This window comes from Homo sapiens, chromosome 1 (genome assembly GCF_000001405.40).
Source record: "Homo sapiens chromosome 1, GRCh38.p14 Primary Assembly".
Lineage (NCBI taxonomy): Eukaryota > Metazoa > Chordata > Mammalia > Primates > Hominidae > Homo > Homo sapiens.
Genome location: NC_000001.11, coordinates 182,052,862 through 182,077,586, shown reverse-complemented (window position 1 = coordinate 182,077,586; position 24,725 = coordinate 182,052,862). Strand labels below are relative to the sequence as shown.

Here is a 24,725-nt window from a genome sequence, read left to right as displayed (position 1 = left end):
ATGTGAGGTAGTATCTCATTGTGGTTTTGATTTGTATTTCCTGAATAATTAGTGACGTTGAGCATCTTTTCATGTGCTTATTGGCCATTTGTATATCTTCTTTGGAGAAATGTCTATTCAAGTCCTTTGCCAATTTTGTAATAAGGTTGTTTGGTTTTTTGTTGTCGAGTTTCTGGAGTTCTCTATGTATTCTGAATGTTATTCTCTTATCAGATATATCATTTGGAAGTATTTTCTCCCATTCCGTAGGTTGCTTTTTCATTCTGTTGATAGTGTTCTTTGATGCACAGAAGTTTTTAATTTTGTGAAGTCCAGTTTGTCTATGTTTTCTTGTGTTCCCCAAGTCTTTGGTGTCCTATTCAAGAATGTATTGACAAATTCCATGTTGTAAAGCTTTTGTCCTATGTCTTCTTCTGAGTTTTACAGTTTTAGCTCTTATATTTATATCTTTGATCCATTTTGAGTTGATTTTTGTATATGGCATTAAGTAAGGGTCCAACTACAATATTTTGTAGGTGCAGGCCCAGTTTTCCTAGCACCATTATTTGAAAAGGCTATCCTATCCTATTGAATGGTCTTGGCATCCTTCTCAAAAATAATTTGACCATATATGCAAGGGTTTACTTTTAGGCTCTCTATTCTATTCCATTGTCTATGTCTGTCTTTATGCCAGTATCACAGTTTTGATTACTGTAGCTTTGTAATAAGTTTTGAAATTAGGAAGTGTGAGTCCTCCAACTATGTTTTTTCTTTTTCAAAATTGTTTTGGCTATTTTGAGTCCCTTGAGATTCCATAAAAATTTTAAGATTTTTTCATTTCTACAAAAATGGTTATTGGGATTTTGATAGGAATTATATTAAATTGGTAGATTGCTTTGGGTAGTATTTACATCTTAATAATATGTCTTCCAATCCATAAACATGAGTTGTGTTTCCATTTACTAAGTCTCCTTTAATTTCTTTCAAAGATGCTTTGTAGCTTTCATTGTACAAGTCTTTCAGCTCTTTAGTTAATTCCAAAGTATGTTCTTCTTTCTGATGCCATTGTAAATGAATTTGTTCTCTTACTTTCTTTTTAATGTTGCTTACTGTTAGTGGATAGAAATATTGTTAGTGGTTAGAAATGTGTGTTGACTTTCTATCTAGCTTCTTTGCTGAATTTGTTTATTAATTCTAATGGCATTTCAGGGGACACCTGCATTTTGACCTCGCTGGTTTTTTTGTTTTGTTTTGTTTTGTTTTTTGAGATGGAGTCTCACTCGGTAGCCCAAGCTGAAGTGCGGTGGCGCCATCTTGGCTCACTGCAACCTCAGCCTCAGGGGCTCAAGCGATTCTCGCTCCTCAGCTTCCCGAGTAGCTAGGATTATAGGTGCATGTCACCACGCCCAGCTAATTTTTTGTATTTTAGTAGAGACGGGGTTTCACCATGTTGCCCAAGATGGTCTCAAACTCCTGAGCTCAGGCGATCTGCCTGCCTTGGCCTCCCAAAGTGCTGGGATTACAGGCATGAGCCACCACGCCCAGCCATTGACCTCACTTTTTGCTGGATAAAATCTATTATTTTGGCAACAGGCCCTTTCTCGGTATAATGCTTTTATTTTATGGCCAGTCACAGGGGACTGGCTAGGAAAAAGATTTGGTCCCTGCTCTGAAGGAACTTCCAGCCTGTGGTAGGGACGTAGACGGTTATAGAGAACTTCAACAAATATGGACAAATATGGAGAACAAGGAAGTGTTTTAGGGATATGCAAGTTAACTATGCTTTTTTTTTTTTTTTTGAGACAGAATCTTGTTCTGTTGCCCAGGCTGGAGTGCAGTGGCGCTATCTCGGCTCACTGCAAGCTCCGCCTCCCGGGTTCACGCCATTCTCCTGCCTCAGCCTTCCGAGTAGCTGGGACTACAGGCGCCCACCACCACGCCCAGCTAATTTTTTGTATTTTTAGTAGAGACGGGGTTTCACCATGTTAGCCAGGATTGTCTCGATCTCCTGACCTCGTGATCCGCCCGCCTTGGTCTCCCAAAGTGCTGGGATTACAGGCGTGAGCCACAGCGCCCAGCCGCAAGTGAACTATTCTAAGTTATAAAATGTGTAGGGACAAAGTTGTTTATAACATTTCCTTATTATCCTTTTAATATCTGTAGCATCTATAGCGATGTCATATCTTCTGTTCCTGATGGTTAAATTTAGGATGTGTTTTCTCTCCTTTTTACCTAATCAGTCAGATCAGAGATTTTTCAATTTTATTGATTTTCTCAAGAATCAGCTTTTGGCTCCATTGTTATTGTTTCTCTGTCTCTCTCTCTCTCTCTTTTTTTTTTTTTTTTTCTGGGATGGAGTCTCGCTCTGTCGCCTAGGCTGGAGTGCAGTGGCATGATCTCAGCTCACTGCATCTCCTCCTCTCAGGTTCAAGCAATTCTCCTGCCTCAGCCTCCAGAGTAGTTAGGATTACAGGCGCATGCCACCACGCCCGGCTAATTTTTGTATTTTTAGTAGAGATGGGGTTTCACCATGTTGGCCAGGCTGGTCTCAAACTCCTGACCTCAAGTGATTCACCCACCTTGGCCTCCCAAAGTGCTGGGATTACAGGTGTGAACCACCATGCCCAACCAATATTGTTGTTTTTCTGTTGTATTTGTTTTCTATTTTTTCCTTTTGACTATAATCTTTATCATTTCCTTTATTCTAATAACTTTAGATTTATTTGATCTTCTTTTTCCTAGTTTCTTAAAATGGAAACTAAGGTCATTATCTGAGACCTTTCTCCTTTTATATAGTATAGGCTTTTAGTTCTATAAGCTCCTGATGGGTACAATTTGTGTTTGTTTTGTTCACTGATAAGACCCTGAAGCTTACATTGGTGCCTAGTAAGTACTAAACAAATATTTGTCAGGTGAATGAATTGATGCCTCCCTCTACCCAAAACTCTTTGAACGGTTCCCATCTGACTCTAGATAAAGCCAGTTCCTTACATAATCTTCATGGCCGTACACAATCAGGCCCTTGCTACTCTGTCCTCTTTTCTTGTTGTCTTTCCCTTAGCCTCACTGGCTGTCCATCAAACATGCCAGGCAGGATCTGAACTCGTGGCCTTTACATTTACTGTTCTGCCTAGAACACTCTCTCTCTTCCCTTCCCTGCATCCCCCAAACAAGAGAGTGACGTGGCTTACTCCTTCACTTCTTTCAGGTACTTGCTGAAAGTCACATCAGAGTCTTTCCAGATAACCCTCTACTCACTTCCCATCCTCTTGCCCTATTACCACCCACTTCCCACTTTATTTGTCTCCATAGCACTTCATAGTTTTCATCACCTTCTAAAGCACTCTTTCGCCTATTTTTTTTGTGTCCTGGCAAGAATGTGAACTCCTTGGAAGTACAAAGGTAGTACCTTTTTTCTTTTCCTCTTCCCCTCTTCTCTTTCCTCTTTCTTCTGCTCCCCACCCTCCTCCTCCTTCTTCTTTTTTCTCTCTCTCTCTCTTTCTCTCTCTCTCTCTCTCCCCTCTCTCTTTTCCTGCTATATCCCCAGGCCTTGAGCAGCATCCAGCTCATAGCAGGTGCTCAATATATATTTAACAAATTCATAACTTACAAAAAGATTGCTGTGGTTGTCATGTGGAGAATGGATTGCAGGGGAGCAAAAATGCTCACATGAAGACCAATAACAAGGCAACTTCAGTATTCCAGGAAGTAGATGATAATGGCTTGTGCTAGAGAAGTGGCAATGGTGGTGAAGAGAAGTAAATTACTTCAGTATACAGTTTGGAGATTAAATCAATAGGACAAGCTGATCCAAAAGACAAGGTGGTGAAAAAAATCAGGGTAAAAGAGTAACTCCCAGGATTTTGGCTTAACCAAGCCAATTGTTGATGGTGTCATTTATTGAGATGGTAACATCTCAGAGAGGAGTAGATTGGGGGATTCAGTTTTGAATGGTTATGTTTATGATGTTAATGAGTAAAACTAGGCAGTTGAATTATAGAGATCTGGAATTCAGAGATATATTTTTGGTGGGTTTTAGAACATAGGTGAGATTTCAAGCCAAGAGCATGAATAAAATCACTTAGAGAGAACATATGGAGAAAACAGAAGAGAAGAAGAGAGGAGAGAAAGGAATAGGATCAGAGAAGAGAGGGAAAAAGGGGAGATAAAGGGAAGGGGAAGAAAATATTAAAGAAGAGAAGAGAGAAGAGGAAAAGAGAGGTAACAGAAGAGATAGAAGAGGAGTGGAGAGGAATGGAGCACTTAGGGCCAAATTCTGAAGAATGCCGACATTTAAAGACAGAAAGAGGTGGAAAAGAGACATATGAGGAAGCCAGGAAAGGAAAGTGGGGAAGGAGGGTGAGGCCAACCATGTTTACTGAGGCTGAGAGTTTCAGTAAGGGACAAAAAATGTGTATTTTGGCTTTTCCTAAATGGAGGTCAACGACCTTGACTAGAGCAATTTCAATTAGATGGAGGGTAGCAGCTAGAGTGTAACAGGCTTGAAGAGTAAATGGAATGAGAAAAAGTGGAGAGAGCATGTGTAGATAAGGGTTTCTAGAAGCTGGCCTGTATGGGAAAGAAGCAGTAAGAGAGAAAAGGCCTCTCTTACCTAGGACAGCACTGGCCTCTGCAGCTGGGCTGAAGTGGGAATTGTAGGTGCTACACCTGGGTACAGAGGTACACACATGAAGATGTGCTGCCCAGATCTTCCTCCAGAGAAGCACTTGCTGTGCAGCTGTGGGGAATGTAGTCAGCAGACAACCTTTAGCTGTCAGCTCCTTCAGAGTCTGCCTCAACTGCAGAGAGCTGCCTTGTCCGAGATCATAGCCTTTCCACTGCCTCCTGTATCTGGTGACCTGGATATTGAAAGAGCTGGCCTCTTCAGCCCAATGCTGGGCACTCTGCCCAAGGAAACTTGCTCCAAAGCTTTCTGCCAGGTTGGCTGAGGCTTTGTTGGGCCTCATCTTCCGCTACCCAATTCTGTTGATCCCCCTTCCCTTCAGAGATGTTGGTCCCTAATATAACATCTTGTACCCCCAAATCAAAATTCAACTCACAAGAGAAGTCCAGCTACCCAAAAATAGCATAGAAGAGATGTGACATCACCATTGCTTATGTACAAAATGCTTTGGGATGTTTCTTAACACTGAAGGGGTTAGGTGGTTGTGCCCACCAGAAAGGCCAAAGTTTTTGGGATACCAAGGGAGAACCAGAAATAAGGAAGAGCCAAGTCTTCTTTGCTCCATAATGGTCAGACCAGCTGCACCCAAAACATCATGTTCAGTTTGGAAGCCATGTTTGAAGAGACCCGTAAACATCATCAAATGCTGAGTCCTGAACAGAGAAACTAGGACTACAAAAGGACTGCAGTTCTTTTCTCATTTTTTTCCTCAGCTACCAGTCTCTCCATGTTTTCTACTTTTTGAGAACAACACAGCTGTTATGCACTGAGCTCTTGCACTGTGCACGGTGATGATGAAATGTTTGTCTGCATAACACATACAGAAGTTCCATAAGAGAGGCGCTGTTAACCCCATTGCCCCTCCTACACAAACAGGCCTGAGACAAGCCAGAGAACTTCATCAAGGTCATACAACTAGCAAGTGGCAGAGCAGGGATTTGAACGCAAGCCCTTCTGACTCCAAAGTTGTACTCCATACTCCTGCCTTTTCTCATTATATAAGTTGAGTATCCCTTATCCAAAATACTTGGAATCAGCAATGTTATGGATTTCATATTTTGGAATATATGCATATACATAATGAGATATCTTGGGGATGAGACCCAAGTCTAAACACAAAATTCATTTATGTTTCATATACACCTTATATACATATTCCAAGGTTAATTTTATATGATATTTTAAATAATTTTGTGTATGAAATAAAGTTTGCATACATTGAGCCATTAGAAAGCACAGGTGTCACTATCTCAGTCACCCATGTGGACAAACCAAACATGGTTGTTTGGCATCATCATCATTCCTGACTCTAACTGTGGATGCTACCAATAAGCAATCATTTTCCTATACTTATTTACACATAAGTACTTAAACAGTAAAAAAAGATACATTATTAATACAATGAAAAAATAATGTGTCTGGGTAAATAAGCAGCACAGGAGCATCACCAGAATACCTGTATCAGCTGTCAGACAACAGCAGCAACAAACAACAGGCTTTCAGCTACAATGCTGTGTTTTGATTAAAAGGTCATTGAACGCTGTATTTTTTTTTTTTTAGGTGAGGAGAAACATCCAAAGCAGTGGGGGACCAGGAGGTGGGTCCCTTAGGATGAGGAGGCATTCTGAATAAACTGTGTGTTGTGCACCTGCATTTTGGCTATGACCTGTCACATGAGGTCAGGTGTAGAATTTTTCACTTTTGGCATCATGTCAGTGTTCTGAAAGTTTTGGATTTTGGAGCATTTCAGACTTTGGATTTTGAGGTTAGTGGTGCTCAACCTATACTAAGCAGATGGCTACAGTAAGGCTGTTCTGAAGCTTGGGGATGTCTTCACCTCTTAAGAGGAAGAATCCTAATGGGTGAGGGTAAACCACCCAAGGAGCCGATGTGGGTGTGTAGCCCAGAAACACAGAGCTGAACAGGCTCAGGAAGCCCCCAGGTCCACTGAAGGTGCTGAAACAGTGTCACTGGGACTGGGATGAAACTATAGCTGGGTGCTAACTAACTAAGGGGCAACCTTTACAGTTGAAGATGTGTCAACAGGAGAATGGCCTGCCAGGGTCCAGGAAAAGGGACTTGGCAAAGCGAGAACTTAGGTCTATCCCCAGTACTGCCCATATAGGTTGTGTGAGAGCAAACCTGCAGCTGGAGCCACAGGTAACAGGGCCCTGTGCAGTTATAACCAGGAACCTCTGTTTTAAAAATCACCCATTTCCTTTTCTTCCTTCCCTTCCCTCTTACCCCTTCATTCCTTCCCTCTCTAGACAATCCCCTCACCAGTGCATGCTTATCTAATTATGCTCTTACCTAAGAAATCCCAGAGGCTAATATTGAAACAATCCAGGTGCCCCACTCCTCCCACTTAGGGGGAGTTGTGAACAATTGAGCCAAAATCAAGCTAATACCAACCAGACCTCCTGATGAGCAATTAACCAAGAGAGCCAACGGAACAAGACACACAAGTCCAGTACCCTGTACCACTCCCACATGTCCCCTATACCACATATCCCTTTAAAAACTCTATGGTAAGTTATAAAATGTAAGATGATACTTTAGAATGCTAGCTTGCCATCTTCTGGGTTTGCTGGCTCTGCTTTTCCTCCCAGAACCCCTTGCCTCTGGCTTTGCAGCAGCAAGCAGCTGAACCTGGGTCCGGTTACACAGCCGTGTCCTTGGGGTGCAGAAGAGGCACCAGGCTCCTGATACCAGCCCCAGCTCTGATTCAGTGCTCTTGGTGCTGTAGTTCAACTTGTCTACACTGTCCTATGCATAGAGCCAGGCTGGTGAGCCTTCAGGAATGTCCTGGGATCCTCGGCAGTCCCGTTTTTCCTGGTAAAGAAGGACTGCACATCACTGTGCAAAGGGCCTCTGCCATATCTCATCCTCCCTCCCCTCCTAAGTGAGAAAACCTGGCTGAAGAGCAGAAGCTTGCTCTCCAGAGTAGCCATGCCTGGAGCCCTCACACCTCTGCCCTTCCCTAACTAGCCTGGGCACCTGGGGTGGAGGTGGTGACAGGTGGGTGGGGGAAGCGTGTCAAAATAGAGTTTTTGTCTCTGCAAGGCCAAGGACTGGGTCTGGCCCAGGCACTTTCATCTGATGAGGCCCAGCTATTAGCAGATTGTTGATACTTTTTATTCCAAATGTAAGATTTCAATTCTACATATGTACAAGAATGTAATTTGCTTCATTGATGTTTTCAAACATGATGACATAAAATTGCTCAAAGTATGCCTTTATATTTTTATACCTTACTTATATTTTATTTCTTTTTAACTCACCCAGCCCCCACTCCCCATTAGATTTGCCAGAGGTTTTCATGGTCTTTTCAAAGAATAGACATGCTTACTGTTCAATATAGGCAAAACCAGGCCACAGCTCATCCTGCCAGGAGAATCCACACCTACAGAGGGATGCCGCACTCCAGCAGCCCTATAGGAAATTTCTTTCAAGAAACTTGCTTCACACCCGTGGCCAGAGTGCTATGAAGAGAGGTCCTCTCTGGTTACGTTCAGTGCAGCAGTTGAAAGAGGAAAAGGGAGTATGTTTTTATGGAAACCTCAAATGCCCTTCCACATCTCCTGTGAATTACCTCTGTGTTCAGGCAGCCGAGCTAGACAGCTGCGAGGAGAGGCGTGTGGTTTTGATGGGGGCCTTGGAAAGAAAAGGCCCCTTGTACCCTGGCCAGCGCATGTAGGTGGTGTGACCTGGGAGGACAGCGGAGCCAGGAGCTCCGCAGCTGTGTCAGAAGCCAGGCTCCCAGCGGCAATGTTCCAGGGAGCCAAAGGGGGAGCCAGAGAGCCGGGAGGCTCCAGCCTGGTCCAGAGAGAAAGAGACAGCACCTGCCCAAGGCGGTAAGCAAGGATCAGGGAATATGGGGGAGAATTCTGGACGGTGGCGAGCCCCCTGCCTTTCCCTTCCTCTCTCCTTCCTTCCTTCCTTTGTTCCTCCCTTCTTTCTTTCTTTCTTCTAAGAACAGAGAGGAAAATTTTCTTTTCTTTTTCCTTTGAGACTCGGTCTCACTCTGTTGCCCAGCCTGGAGTGCAGTGGTTTGATCATGGCTCACTGTAGCCTGAGCTTAACTGATCCTCCTGCCTCAGCCTCCTGAGTAGCTGGGACCACAGGTGTGTGCCACCACATCCAGCTAATTTTTAAAAATTCTTTGTGAAGGTGAGGTCTCCCTATGTTGCCGAGGCTGGTCTCGAACTCCTGGGCTCAAGGGATCCTCCCGCCCCAGCCTCCCAAAGTGCTGGGACTACAGGTTACAGGCATGAGCCACTGCACCTGGCCCCAGATTATTCTTATGTACAGCAGGGTTGATGCAATGTACAATGTTTTTCAACTGTGTTTGACCAAGAATCAGAGCAAACCAGACTATGAGATACAGTCTTCATTATATACCCCCAGACTATGTTTATAAACCTAAAACAAAAATTACATGAAACTATACTTTTATGTGTGAGACACTTTGATATATTCTACTGTCTTCTGTTCTATTCTAAAAAAGAATGTTGGTTGTGGCTCACTAAAGTGATTCCCTGTCATATTCACAGATTGTGTCCTGCAGTCTGAAAAACACTGACATAGTAAAGCTCAACAAATGTTTGGTGAGTAAATGAATGATCGAACAAATAAATGAATACTTCAATCTCAACACCAGTAAAACAGAGGGGCTGCACTAGATAATTTCTTAGATCTCTTCATTAAAAATACTGAGGTCGATGCCTTTGTTTTTAAATTTCCAACAGCTTCATCATGCCCCTGGGCTCTGGTAAGCCTCAGTTCAAGGGATTCCCACTGATACAAGAGATCAGAGGGTTCTTTTTCAATGTGTTTATTACGTAAAGATAAGCAGTATCTTCCCTTCTAACCTCCCCAGACCTTCTATCCCTGAGCCCAGAAGGACCAGTAAAGTCAGAACGTAAACCTAAGGTATAGAAGATTCCCAGAAGTCTCATTTGTGGTGTTCTTCCTCAGTTTTCTACAAGGTCCCAAGGCTGAGGTGGAATGTGGAGGAGTGGAGGCCTGAAGTCTCTGTGGCCTTGAAAGATGTGGTAGTCAGTGTGGGCCAAGATAATATGCTGCTATGTCAGTAGACAATTTGAATCTTCAGCCTCTTGTACCCTGAGGGTTCCATGAACCCATCCAACTGCTTGCAGTGAAGCCCAACCCACTGCTTGCAGCTTATGCTCCCTCGGCCTGGGCCAGAGGCTTCCAGGGTCATCTGGCAGGGTCACTATAGTGCAATGTAGGTCTTGAGAAGCTTGGAAAGGGCTGGTCTTCTGGTGAGCTCCAGAAGTGGCTCCAGAGACCACTGCCTCAGTAGGACCTGGTTATACTGAGTAAGGGCTTCAGAAAGTTTGAGGAAAAGGTTCCAGTGGAGACCAGAGGTGGGTTCTCTGGGTTCTCTGCTGTTTAGACAGGAGGTAGAGGTGCCTTCCTACCCCATATTATATTGTTAGCTAATACTGATTGGGCACTTGTCCATCCCTTGTACTCTGCAAAGCACATCATCTCATTTAAACCCCACAACAACTCTGTAAGCTAGATATTAAATATTATTATTAGCCATAATTTACAGACAAAGAAACTGGGGCACAGAAAGGTTAAGCAACTTGCTCACAGTCATGCAGGGTGTAGAAATAGGATTTACCCAAGTAGCCTGATGTCAGAGCCTGTATGCTCCATCACTACACTGTGCAGTCTTCACTGGGGCAGGTGGTGTTGAGTTAGTGAAGAGAAGGCATTCTACCTGGCACTGTTCTGCAGGGGGTGCCAGGAAGTACTGACATGTGATGTCATTGCCTTATAATGTCATCCCATCCAGAGCACAAACCTTCCACTCTGTCACTGATTGCCACGTGTGCCAAGTGTAGCACGCGATGACAGACCCAGGTTTATGACATCACTGCTCTAGGAACGTTATTGGCCTCAAAAAAGGCTGCTTGGTCAGTCTCTCAGTGGGAATGTTTGGGGCTAGGAGACCAGAATCAGAGAATGGCACCCTTCTGGAAGCAGAGTAATTAAGGGCTAGCATTCTGGAAGAACAGGGATGGAGCAAAGGTATCAGCAAGCTCCCAATAGCTCTAGGATAAAAATAATAAGGCTTATAATTTATTGAAAAATGACTATACAGCTAACACTAGACCAAATGCTTTTAAAATGTGGTTTCAGATTATTTTACAACCCTATCATGAAATTATTCTTATTCCCATTTTATGGGTGAGGAGCATGAGGCTCAAAGAAGTTAAGTAAATGGACCAAGATCATCAAACAAACAGAAATGGGATTAAAGCCAGGCCTTTCTGACTCAAGGTTGTGTACTGAGTTCCTGTCCAATTCTGCTTTCTGCATGTGTATTCATACTCAGCAAAGTTTGATGCCTGCATGAAAAACAATATTTAAAGTCTCCACCATGTATTGGCCACTTAACTGCCTCTATCACTCCTCCTCAAGGATGATGAAGGGCTGGGGCAAGAAGAAGATTAGATAGTATACCTCACCAACCATTCACACTGTTTGGAAGCAGCTCAGGCAGATTGCTGTGATGACAGCTGGCAGCAGAGCATGGGGAAGAACATAGGCCAGTGTGGCTCATGTTCCACCACGTCACTCCACTCCACCCATCCAGTCCATGTCATTGATAGGCACAAATGAGCTCCTGCACCATGCCCATCAAATGCCCTTCTCTCTCCCAGATGCCTTGTGTTACTCCTTCAGTCTCTGCTTTTTCCTCTTCCCAGACAGGCGGGCAGACCCTTGTTTTCACTACTGCCAGTCAGCAGCTCAGAGGAATTGCCAGATTTTAGAGGCAGACTTGCAAATAATAACCAATACATAAAAGAACACCTACTTTGTTTCCATGCTTAAGGAACTGGGCAGAATGACACAGATTTCAGAAGTTCCTAAAAGCAGGAAAAGGATGTGGCCTTAGGGAAAGGGCCTTCCGCTCTCCATTTCTAGTGGTCCTTACAGTGAGTGTTGGAAAGATTAAATGAGACAGTAAATGTGCTTGTGCTGTCAAAAGGGAAACACACCCAGGAAACAAAAGGGATTCCTGTCCCTTGGAGTCTGAGCAATAGGTTGACCAGTGGGATAGGCAAGACCTGGGATTCAGATCTGAGGCCTGATCTGCACCCACTATGTGCCACTCATTAGGATAGTGAAGTCTCACATAGATAAAGGCACATGGCACTTCCAAACAGCGTTCTTAAGATGGCTTGGAGGATGTATCAGGGTAGGTGACTCAGGGAGATAAGGGGCTTGTGTACACCTTGTCTCTTGATGTAGCCTCCAGGCCAGTCCTGGTCCCATTCACCACTAGGTGGACTATCCCATACCAGTGAGATGGCAACACCAGTGTGTCTTGAAAACCAAGGAGGACTCACGTGGACAATTTAACGTGGAAGTCCCAAGGTGTCTGCTAATTACTCGGTTGTTACGGTTTCTAGAAATAAAGCATGATGGAAAACAGGCTGTCCAGGCTGAATGAGGAATAGGTGATGAGACTGTGCAGGCACTTAGTGGGAACCATCTCTCTGGGCAGCAAGGCTGAGGGAGAAGAATGCCTTCTGGGGGAATGACTATAGTGACCACAGATACACAGGTCACATAGCCTTGGGGAGGAGGGACTAAGACTTTCCAGGAGGAAATAAGGGTAGAGTCAAGCAAAGGCCAAGCATGCAGGCTCTGAGGGACAGTGTTTGGGAATCTAATGTGGTAGTGGTTAAGAGTGCAGACTCTGATACCTTGGCTCAAATTGCAGCTCCACTATGTAGGAACTGTGTGGCTGTGGCCCTTAAGCTGCCTATGGCTCTGTATCCTCCATCTGTAAATGCAGGTAACACTAGTAGTAGCTGCTTCGTTAGGATGTGATGAAGATTAATTGGGGCATTGTGTGTGGCATGCTAGCATAGTGTTAGCACTAGTAACTGCTCAATAAATGTACCATTGCTGTGAGGCTGGGAATGGGAGGGACATACACACACACACTCATCCCAGCTCCAACTTTCATCTCCACAGGCTCCTTCACAATCAGTGAAGAATTAGGTACTTTCTTGCCAAAGATAGCTGAAGCTCAAAGCCCGTACCATATGGACACTTGGGATATTTTGAGCAACCATGTTGGGATGCGGGCTAGTGGCAGCACCAACTGATAACGTGGCTATGGGAGCTATTTTAAGTGTTCACCTACTCTCCCCATCCCATGCTCTCCCCAAATGCCAATGGTTCTCAACATTTTTTGGATCATGGCCCCTTCAAGAAATGGATGGCTACCAAGGATCCTCTTGTCAGAACAGCACATGTCCCCATATCTGCCACATTCTGCACTTTATTTCAGAGGCTCTATGGACTTCAGAATTTGAACCCTATTCCAGATATTCAGACTCAGAGACCTAGAGGTATGTCTCTGCTGCCTGCCTCTTTCCTCTGAAACCATGCCTTAAAAACACCAAGGGGACATTGAAACCTGCTTTTCTGGATCACATTCTGAAAACTGCTGTTCAGAAGAGTTGCAGCTTCAACAGGGCCACAGGGATATAAAAGCAGCCCTGGAATGATGTCTTCCCTAAAAACAACAAAATCATCAATAATGAATAGGAAGAACCAATATTGTGAAAATGGCCATACTGCCCAAAGCAATTTATAGATTCAGTGCTATTCCCATTAAACTACCACTGACATTCTTCACAGAATTAGAAAAAACTATTTTAAAATTCATATAGAACCAAACAAGAGCTTGTAGAGCCAAGACAATCCTAAGCAAAAATAACAAAGCTAGAGGCATCATGCTACCCAACTTCAAACTATACTACAAGGCTACAGTAACCAAAACAGCATGGTATGCTACAAAAACAGGCACATAGACCAATGAAACAGAAAGAGAACTTAGAAATAAAACCACACATCTACAACCATCTGATCTTCCGAAAACCTGACAAAAACAAGCAATGGGGAAGGGATTCCCTATTTAATAAATGGTGCCAGGAGAACTGGCTAGCCATATGCACAAAATTGAAACTGGCCCCTTCCTTACACCTTACACAAAAATTAACACTAGATGAATTAAAGACTTAAACGTAAAACCAAAAACTATAAAAACCCTAGAAGAAAATCTAGGCAATAACATTCAGGACATAGGCATAGGAAAAGATTTTATGAAATTGCCAAAAGCAATTGCAACAAAAGCAAAAATTGACAAATGGGATCGAATTAAACTAATGAGCTTCTGCACAGCAAAAGAAACTATCATCAGAGTGAACAGACAACCTATAGAATGGGAGAAAATGTTTTCAATCTATCCATCTGACAAAGGTCTAATATCCAGAATCTACAAGGAACTTAAGCAAATTTACGAAACCCCCCACAAACAACCCCATTAAAAAGTGGGCAAAGAATGTGAATAGACACTTCTCAAAAGAAGACATACATGCAGCCAACAAATACATGAAAAAAGAGCTCAACATTACTGATCATTAGAGAAATGCAAATTAAAACCACAATGAGATACCATCTCATGCCAGTCAGAATGGCGATTATCAAAAAGTCAAGAAACAACAGATGCTGGCGAGGTTGCGAAGAAATAGCAACGTTTTTACGCTGTTGGTGGGAATGTAAATTAGTTCAACCATTGTGGAAGACAGTATAGCGATTCCTCAAAGATTTAGAACCAGAAATACCATTTGATCCACAATCCCATTACTGGGAATATACCCAAAGGAATATAAATAATTCTATTATAAAGATACATGCATGCATATGTTCAATGCCGCACTATTCACAATAGCAGACTTGGAATCAACCCAAATGCCCATCAATGATAGACTGGATAAAGAAAATGTGGTATATATACACCATGGAATACCATGCAGCCATAAAAAGGAACAGGATCATATCCTTTGCAGGGACAGGGATGGAGCTGGAGGCATTATCCTCAGCAAACTGGCAAAGGAACAGAAAACCAAACACCGCATGTTCTCACTTATAAATGGGAGCTGAACAGTGAGAACACATGGACACAGGGAGGGGAACAACACATATTGGGGCCAGTTGGGGGAGTGCGGGGTGGAGAGAGCATCAGGAAAAATAGCTAATGCATGCCGGGCTTAATACCTAGGTGAAGGAAGGGTTGATAGGTGCAGCAAACCAGCATGGCACATGTTTACCTATGTAACAAACCTGCATATCCTGCACATGTATCCCGGAACTTAAAATTTTTAAAAATCGTCAATAATAACAATGAAAGCAGCTAACGTTTTTGGGTACTTGCTATGTTCCAAACACCGAACTAAGCTCCTTACATGCATTATCTCATTTAATACTCCCCAAACTTCCATGATGGCAATAGTATCCTGGTCCCTGTTTTGCAGATGAGACACTAAGGCACACAGAGGTTAAATAACTTGCCCAAGATCACACAGCTAGTAAGTAGTAAGATTCAAACCCAGACCCAGACCGTGCTGTCAATCAGTATACTTTGTGACCACCTAGTGACATCACAGGAACCACACTTCCATCACCTATTTTAATGCCCTGAATGTTCATCCTAATAAATGCACATTAGACTTGAGTGGGTAAAAATTCTGAATGTACTGAGTCTTCTACCTTGGGCCAATCCTTCTCTTCAAAATGAACCTGCATGGGAATCAATGCTGAAAGTGGAAAGAGACCCCAGACAGGCCTGGCATCTGTATGCATAAGACAGAAAACCATCTCCCTGCACCCCTACTCCCAGTTAAAAGGCTGTGGGCATCTTTGAGCCAATGAATGGGCTGCTACAAAGAATTCTGGGAATCCCAACCCCTCACAGTTCTGCAACTCACAGTCCTGCAAAAGGTGGGTACTAGAATAGGGAGGTGGGCATATAGGCCAAATACTCTGTTCTGCCTTCCAGGAGGGAAAAAGCATGCTACCCAGGAAGCTCACAAGTGACATGTGGCCCATGGGCATACCAGGGCTAAAGTGAAGGATGGACTGCTCTGTGGAAGGAAGGAGTGAAAGTGAACAAGAGGCATAGGGCCACCTGCAGGAAGACTGAGAGGAGGGAAGGAGGAAGGCTGGCTTTGGCAGGGAGGGGAGGCAGGAGCAGAGGGAGCCAGAGGATCGGTTCAGGCAGTGAGAGAGGGCAGCCCCACTCTATTTCCCAGGCTGCTCTCTGGATGCAGGCAGGAAGGTTGAGTGTATTACACTGGCCCCACCTCCAGAGGCTCTCTCTGCAGCCGCTGGACTGGACACAAAGCGTGAGAGACAGAGACACCATCTCTGCTGATTTGTACCTAACTGGTTCCTGTTGCTGAGAGCCCACGTGTCACAGAAGCCAGGGCAGAGGCCCCACACTGCTGTCTGCATTTCCCAGGTAAGCAACCGTCTGTGTGTGAGCCAGGAGTGGAGAGCAAGGCCTGAAGGCGGTGAGCAGAGAAGAAAGTAGGAGGCGGCTGCCTAGGATGGACTTCAGTACAATCTGGAAAGAATGAAGGAAAGAAGAGGGGTATGGGCTGGGGTTGCAACAAGCCCTTAGGGTAGGCTTCTGCAGAGTGTTGATGGATGTATGAGGTTGGGGAGTCAAAGGCTGCATTTGGTCCACTCTTGGCTGGCAAGTGCAGAGGAAGTTCCAGCAAAGGACTGCTCTGACAGCCTCTGGGGACTAGCACATCTGGGGAGCAGAGAGGCCCGCCATACCATGGCATCAGTGTTCCTCTTTCAGACCAGGTATATTTGTGCAGACTTTGCCAGAAAATCCCTCCCTGTGCCCCTGCCTGCCTCCAGGTCTTCCTGGTGGTCGAGAGCATGCGTGTGGCAGCGACAGGAGGAAGAAAGCAGGACATATTCACTGGGGATATGGCTTCAGATGGAGGAGGGATACCTCATCTGAAAAGAGAGTCTCCTGACGGGCTCTGGAGAGGAGATTGGTTAGCTAGTGGAGGGCTGTGTGCCACCCTAAGGAGGCTCCCCTGTGGCCCAGAGGAAAAGAATGACACACAGACTGTGGAAAATGGGGTATTTGTGCTGGAGGTGGGGTGGGGAGCGGGTAAAGTCAGTGATCTGTGAACAGTGCCACAGAAACAGGCAGTATGTTGTCGTAAAGAGGGAAAGAGACCTAAGACATGTGTTTCATACAAATCCAGCATCCCTTTGCTGTCCCTGCTGGGGGACCTACAGCCCCGGATCAAGCCTGCTGGTCTGAGCAAGTTCTATGAGGTTGGCTAGTGGTATGTCCCCTCTATGAACTACACATTCACTCCCTAAGATCCACTATGCTGAAAATATGTCAGATCTGGGCTCCTGTCAAAAGGCATGCCAGCTACCCTCTGCCATGTGATGGGTGAGGGAAGCAGTGAGAGAAGAGGAGTGGTCCCTGGGCTTTAGGGCACAAAGAGACGTGAGATGCTGAATTCCAGTCACAACTGCAATGTGTCCTCCCTCCATCCATGGCTTCTGTATCCAGAGCAGAAAGTGAGGATTCCTCCATACTGCTCCCTCTTCATACACACAGGGTAACTGGGCTCATGATCAGGCAGAAACCAGGGAAGAACAGTTTAATGAGATGGGGATAGGGTTAACTGTACCAGCCAAATACAAAGATCACTCCTTTTATCCAGTCTGAGATGGCAGTGAAAGGTGGGCAGAGGTAGAGAGAAGGAGCTTTCAGAAGGTAAATACTCAGTGACTAATACTCTTGAGCACCACAGGCAGTGGCCTCTGCAACATGGGTCCTGGCTCTGATGGGCAGCCACTGGCCTCTCTCTTTGGCGGAGGGCAATCTGGGTCAATGAAAGCAGGGAGGAGCCCAGCAGTGAGGCCCTGTAGCCAAGGTTCCTTGGCCCAGAAAACACAAGGGGCTTTGATGCCTGCAGAAAGCCACGGCTTTTCACCCCAGGATGCTGCAGCTGCTCTTGGGCAGAGCCCAGCCCCAGAGCAGGCTTCAGTCTGAAGGCCACAGCTGGGAGGCAGGACCATTTGGGGCTTAATGGCCTTAAAATTAGAGAGAAACCCCACTGCTGCTGTCTATGAGCTGTGTGGCCTTGGGCAGGTAAGTAACCTCAATAAAGCTCAGTTTCCTGGTCTGTAAAATTGAAAGAATAATATAGTAATAATAGCATCTATCTTTTTTTTTTTTTTTGAGATGTAGTCTCGCTCTGTCACCCAGGCTGGAGTGCAGTGGCGCGATCTCAGCTCACTGCAAGCTCCGCCACCATGCCCAGCTAATTTTTTTGTATTTTTAGTAGAGACGGGGTTTCACCGTGTTAGCCAGAATGGTCTCAATCTCTTGACCTCATCATCCGTCTGCCTCGGCCTCCCAATAGCATCTATCTTAAAGTTTGCTGAGAGGAATAAATGAAATTATGTTTGTGAAGCACTCAGCATAGTGGCTGGCTCATAACGTGTGCCCAGAAAAATGAGAGTTTTAATACCCCCTCTGGGATTCTCAGAAGTTTCTCTCCAGACTAAAGCAGATTTAGCCCTCTGGTCAACAGTTGTCCCCCTGGAGAGGCCCTCAGTACCCTGCCTCTCTAGTAACTCCTTTAAAATCTGTCACTCATCCAATCCTTGTTAACCAATCCTCCAGCAGGCTTTCTCCATGTCTTCAAGCTAAAATAAAATAAGTTTGAAAATAAAACCCAAATGGCTCTCATGTCTCATGCATTATGTTTGAAATCCTACATCTGGCTTCTTGAGTCAGGAGATGTGTACCCCAGTGGACATCTGTGGTATGCCAGGGGATCAATATGGCACACTTGGGGGAAGATTAAACATTTAAACCCAGGTAACTTTAATACTATTTTCTATAAAACAAATGCGACTGGCAGGGCACAGTGGCTCATGCCTGTAATCCCAGCACTTCGGGAGGCCGAGGCAGGTGGATCACAAGGTCAGGAGTTCAAGACCAGCCTGGCCAAGATGGTGAAACCCTGTATCTACTAAAAATACAAAAATTAGCCGGGCATGGTGGTGGGCACCTGTAATCCCAGCTACTCAAGAGGCTGAGGCAGAGAATCACTTGAACCGGGAGGCAGAGGTTGCAGTGAGCCAAGATCGCGCCACTGCACTCCAGCCTGGGTGACAGAGCGAGACTCCGACTCAATTAAAAACAAAAACAAAAATGAGACATAAAATGTAAACTCTCCTGAATGTTTATGATGAAGCAAAATTTCAAAGACAGGTCAAGCTCTCAGTGGGCATCCTCTGCCCCCGGGTGCTTATGGGTAGCCTTCCTGGCAGTTAGGAGTTCCTCAGAAGTTACAAGGGCCTGAGAAGCCCCGCTTAATCAGTGAGGGGCAACTGGTGCCTTCCTGACTCACCCTCATTCTCCCAAGGGCTGCTCCTTATCTTTGGAAGAGGTGGCCTACACAGCCCAGGGCCTGAGAGGTAACCCTAGCTGACACCATCATGGGATGGCAGACTTCCATTCCTGGCAGGGACAGCAAAAGCCAGCCTGGTTTCCAGCTTCCTGAGTGGGGGACACTGTAAGAGTGTCTTAGGAGGACCACAGCTTGGTTCCTACCCTCTCATCGAGTTGTCCCCCATGCTGACAAAGGACACATTTGGTTAGTGGTTGGGGATGAGCACCCTAGACAGGACAAGGCACAGCTGGCACCCAGCAAATGCCCCACCCTGGCTATTCCTGACAGCATGGTCTCCTGGGGCTTATAGCAAGTGGGATCTCCAGAGGGAATAGGATGACTGGAATTTTCAGCAGAGCCAGGCCTCTGTCCTCAGTGAGGCTCAACAATATGCCTGACATGGAGACCAGTTGGAAACAGAGCTATAGTGGGAACCTCAGTCCCTCTGCTCATGAAAGTGATTAAGTACATTCTTTGTGATTTTCTCTTCGTACTTTTCTTTTTGCAGGTATCCTGAGCCAAGCAGGATACTCCTCCTCAGAGGAGTAGGCAATAGAAGCGCCTGAACATCATGGCACAAGTGGACTCCCAGGACAGGTGGGGAGAGGCGTCTCCTCTCAGCAGCTTGACTGAGGAAGCTCATGACACCCAGATGCTGAGCATGAACTTAGAGAGTGACGATGAAGATGGTGGGGAGGCCGAAAAAGAGGGCACCGCTGACCCGGTGGCCTGTCCAAGGGGCAGCTCCCCAGTAACACACGAAAATCCTGACTTGCCATGGCCCCATCCACTGGGCAAAGAGGAAGAGAAATTCTCTGACTCCTCCAGTGCTGGGGGCATGGGGCAGAAACCAGTGGAAATGTCTGGGAAAGCCAGTTGGAGCAGAGATGTGACAAAGATCAACGAGACCCAGGGTTCCCCGGGAGCAAGCAGAGCTCTGGGTTCCCTTCCCAGTGGTCTCGCACACAAATTGTTAGGTCAGATGCAACCTCTTGGGGACCGACTACCTGCGGGTGATGATGGATACTCGGGGGCAAACCAGGACGCAGTCTTGGATGTCCCACCCAGCTTCCCCAGCAATGGAAAGTATCTCTGTGCGCACAAAAGTGTAGACACGTCCGCAGGGAACTCTTCTCTGTTGTGTTTCCCCAGGCCGGGGAGCAACTGGGACCTTCCCACGCAAGAGACACATACACCAGCCCAGGCGTCGGCCACCCCAGCCAGCCTGGCTGCCGCGGTCCTGGCAAAAGCGCGGAACAGCAGGAAAGTACAGAACCAGGCGGGCCGGCGCGAGGGCGGAGAGGCTGAGGCGCGTCCCTACAGGTGCCTGCGGGGCGGGCGGGCCTTTCAGAAGCCCAGCAAGCCGCTGAGCCCCGCGGAGACGCGCGGCGGCGCCGCCAAGCGCTACGCGTGCGAGCTATGCGGGAAGGCCTACTCCCACCGCGGCACACTCCAGCAGCACAGGCGCCTGCACACGGGCGAGCGGCCCTACCAGTGCTCCTTCTGCGACAAGGCCTACACCTGGTCCTCCGACCACCGGAAGCACATCCGCACCCACACAGGCGAGAAACCCTACCCGTGTCCAGACTGCGGGAAGGCCTTCGTGCGCTCTTCGGACCTGCGCAAACACCAGCGCAACATGCACAGCAACAATAAGCCCTTCCCGTGCTCCGAGTGCGGCCTGACCTTCAACAAGCCGCTGTCGCTGCTGCGCCACCAGCGCACGCACCTGGGCGCCAAGCCCTTCCGCTGCCCCGCCTGCGACCGGGAGTTCGCTGTGGCCAGCCGCATGGTGGAGCACCAGCGCGTGCACTCGGGCGAGCGGCCCTTCCCCTGCCCCACCTGCGGCAAGTGCTTCACCAAGTCCTCCAATCTGTCCGAGCACCAGACGCTGCACACCGGCCAGAGGCCTTTCAAGTGCGCTGACTGCGGCGTGGCCTTCGCGCAGCCCTCGCGCCTCGTGCGCCACCAGCGCATCCACACTGGCGAGAGGCCCTTTCCTTGCACGCAGTGTGGCCAGGCCTTTGCCCGCTCTTCGACCCTGAAGCGGCACCAACAGATCCACTCCGGGGAGAAGGGATTCCTCTGTGCCGAGTGCGGCAGGGCCTTCCGCATTGCCTCTGAGTTGGCCCAGCACATACGAATGCACAACGGAGAGAGGCCCTACCAGTGTGAGGACTGCGGCCAGGCCTTCACCAGGTCCAATCACCTCCAACGACACCGAGCCAAGCACGGCACCTGCAAGAAGGAGCCCATCCCTTCCTCCTCTGACGAGTGAAGATAGCATCGTCGACCTCACTACTTGGAACCTTCCCAGGTGGGCCCACTCACATGGTATTGCCAGCCTCACTGGTCAGCCTCGCCTCCCAGCAGGTCGCGGGTCATCAGTGGTCCATTTGATTATTTATTTGATCCCTTGAACAGAAAGTCACCACCGAGAGAGCACCCAGGTGGGTGGTTTCACATCAGTGGTTCTGAGTGTCCGAGGTCATAAGCAATTGGAAAAGGGAAAGACAAAGTAGTGGGAGCTGATCAAACGTTGAGTTCCTTGGGTTGGGGAACCTGAATCAATCAGAAACTGCTTCTAGAATTACATGCTGGGCACTGGGCCGGGCTCCAGGGATAAGGTGGGGAAAAAGACTAACCTGTCCTACCCTCAAAGCCATATGCAAATACTGAAAAGAAGGCCTGAGGGGCTGGTCCTCTTTAGAGAAAGATGCTTTTTGGTTTTTATATAAATAAAGGAATCCCCAGAAGTGGTCCCTATGATGAACTCCCCCAAAGCAACGCCGTTTTTGGAGGAACTCAAACCCAGTCCAACATCCCATCATTTCACTTGACTGCAGAAATGGCTTTACCCTTAGGATATATCTTTATGAGTCTTGGCTTTGAAGTGGAGAAGGGCTTTATCTTAGAGAAGGTGGTTTATGTCATATTCCAGTTATTCTAGAAGTTCAGGACAGCCTTAGCATCTGAAAAAGAAGCCCATTCCTCTTTATAGTGGAATTTAGTAAGTAGATCTAACCCGAGTCTCACCCACAGAATTCATATAAATTCATATATGCCTTCTCTCTGGCTGCCTCTTTTCCTGTTTGCACTCTGAGGGCTTAAGTCATATGTGATATTTACAAAGCAATTGGCCCATTTACAGAGAGACATATATAATTTCTCCACAAAGCCTTGACCATGGTTCATGAAACCGTTTGGGTTCATTTAAATTTGTCTGAATCATTAGTCTTGACTTGAAGTGAACAAAACACCCTTTGCCCAAGTGCCATTGGCTTGTCTGCATTTCAAAATCATTAAAACCAGGTATGGAAGCCTACGTGCTCACAGTTATCTAATGAGGTTATTTCAAAGTTTGCATTACTAACAGCCATTCTGCAAAGTGTATTGATGTGTATAGTGATCTGTATAAAGTCAGTAGTTCTTAGCTGAACCTCAACTGTGAGGAATCTATGACTCCACAGATGTCCTTGGTGCACATAGGCAAACGGCACTTCTCATCTTACTGAAGTTAAATAAGATATTCCATAAGAAGGTATAGTGCCCTTTTTGGGGGAGTACCTTTAGTATATTCCTAAAATTGCCACCAAAGAATGCCAAATCTGAATTTCTCTTGGTTTCCACCTGATTTGGAACTAGGGTGTGACCTCTAAATAGCATTCTCATGACACATGGGGGCGCCAAAGAGAAGTAAGAGAGATAGCTAGATAGCTAGATAGCTAGATAGTCTTGTGTCTTGTTTGACCAAGGTAACCGTAATAAAAGAGTCCATCCCCATCCTTTACTGTTGATGTGACCTTGGGCTTCAGTTTCTGCATCTGCATTGGCAAAATAGAAGTGATAGTAGTAGGTAAAAGTTAGAGTGATCCTACTATATGACGGAAACTTTGGCTGGATGCAAGAGCTTTAAATTGGTAGAAAAGTCACAAGATGAGCTTGTGACTATGAAGAGAGCAAAAGCTAACTTTTTTTTCCTAGATAATCAATAAAATATTTGAAGACTGAAGGATTACTCCTTTTCATTGTATCCTTTCTTGAAGATGGTCATTAGTATAGTTTTTACAAATTAAAAAAATTGGTTTTGTTTTATAATTTTTATGGAGTTGTTCGCCAAAACCTGGTTGCATAGGAGTCACCTGCGCTGTTTGTTAACCATATAACTTGCTGAACCCTAACCTTGAATACTGATAAAGGTCTGCAGTGTGGTATCTAGGTATGGCTTCCACATGGGCATAGCTTTGGAGAAGGAGTGAGCGTACTTGTTAATAGGCAGAAACGCTGGATTTGCTTGTGCTGGGTATCTTTGGTGCTGTATACTATGTTTCTGGAATATAAGGGGTAGAATGTACTGAACAGGTCCAAGAGAAGTTCATTAGTCCTTCAGGCCTTTCACAAAACAACTCAGATTTTAAGGAAAATTGTCCCAACCAGTCTTTTCTCACATCAACTGCAAGGGTCATTCTGAGTAGGTATTAGAGAAGAAAGGAATCCCATTGGAACCAGTAGTCACAGATCACTGGACCAGACAGTGGTACACAAGTAGAAGGCAACAGTACATGGAGTGGACAAAAGAGAAGCCAACCAGCTGTGAGGTGGCTTGGGACAAATTCTGCCCAGTAGAGTCTGTCCATTCAGAGTAGGGGTAGTTGAGTCACATCTTTGGAAAAGAATCAATGCTTGAAGACAGGTTATTCTGTCTTGCATTTGTGCCCCAAATTATGCCGAGCTACTTTCTGGTTTTCTGTTAACCTACTGTACATCACAGCAGACAATCTTATTTCTCTATTATGTAATTAAAAATCAGGGTAAAGCCAGGTGTGGTGGCTCATTCCTGTAATCCCAGCACTTTGGGAGGCCAAGGTGGGAGGATTGCTTGATCCCAGGAGTTTGAGACTAGCCTGGGCAACATAGTGACACCCCCATCCCTTTAAAAAAAAATTTAAAAATGAGCCAGGTTGGCCAGGTGCGGTGGCTCATGCCTATAATCCCAGCACTTTGGGAGGCTGAGGTGGGTGAATCACCTGAGGTCAGGAATTCGAGACCAGACTGGCCAACATGGTAAAACCCCATCTCTATTAAAATTACAAAAATTAGCTGAGCATGGTGGCAGGCGCCTGTAATCTCAGCTACTTGGGAGGCTGAGGCAGGAGAATCGCTTGAACCCAGGAGGCGGAGGTTGCAGTGAGCCAAGATCACACCATTGCACTCCAGCCAGGGTGACAAGAGTGAAACTCCATCTCAAAAAACAACAACAAAAAAAATGAGCTAGGCGTGGTGGCACACACACATAGTCCCAGCTACTGGGGAAGCTGAGGCAAGATGATTACTTGAGCCTAAGAGGTGGCGGCCGCAGTGAGCTGTGATCATGCCACTGCAATTCAGCCTAAGTGAGATGCTGTCTCAAAATAAATAAATAAAATAAAATAAGGGCAGGGCCTTCTTCGTGACAAAAAGAATTTAAAGCTTCTCTCTGGGTTAATGCTGTTTCCACAGTACAGGGTGCCAAAATTAATTTGAATATACTCAGTAAAAATGTTCATTTATATGTTTCCACTTAATAAAAATTCCCCTGATGGGTTCACCAGTCTATGGTGCTCATGACTTGTATTCTTTAGACCATAATGATAATAGCCAACACTTACATTGTGTTCAGTTTGTGCCAGGAACTGTTCTAAATGTTTTATATATGTTAACTGTTTTTTAAAGCAAACTTA

At 45.9% G+C, this 24,725-nt stretch overlaps 1 protein-coding gene across 3 annotated transcripts, besides 1 other annotated feature; it reads left to right on the top strand.

Annotated features, from left to right (window-relative positions):
- Positions 1-7,940: 7,940 nt before the first annotated feature.
- On the top strand, positions 7,941-23,017 carry ZNF648 (zinc finger protein 648). Of its 3 annotated transcripts, XM_047445722.1 has the most exons (4): positions 7,941-8,517; positions 9,217-9,270; positions 12,686-16,019; positions 19,514-23,017. In XM_047445722.1, the coding sequence occupies exon 4, from the start codon at positions 19,577-19,579 to the stop codon at positions 21,281-21,283; it is 1,707 nt and encodes a 568-aa protein (XP_047301678.1). In that variant the 5' UTR covers positions 7,941-8,517; positions 9,217-9,270; positions 12,686-16,019; positions 19,514-19,576; the 3' UTR covers positions 21,284-23,017. The 3 variants fall into 3 exon arrangements, with proteins under 3 accessions (XP_047301678.1, XP_024309028.1, NP_001009992.1); XM_024453260.2 differs by lacking the exon at positions 12,686-16,019; NM_001009992.1 differs by lacking the exons at positions 7,941-8,517; positions 9,217-9,270 and having other exon boundaries at positions 15,875-16,019.
- Positions 20,844-21,374: an enhancer, noted in NCBI's record as "H3K27ac-H3K4me1 hESC enhancer chr1:182025348-182025878 (GRCh37/hg19 assembly coordinates)". NCBI's record gives its function as "activates a minimal SCP1, AML or CMV promoter by ChIP-STARR-seq in naive H9 embryonic stem cells {active_cell/tissue: H9 hESC(naive)}" and the evidence as "EXISTENCE:reporter gene assay evidence [ECO:0000049][PMID:30033119]".
- Positions 23,018-24,725: the final 1,708 nt, after the last annotated feature.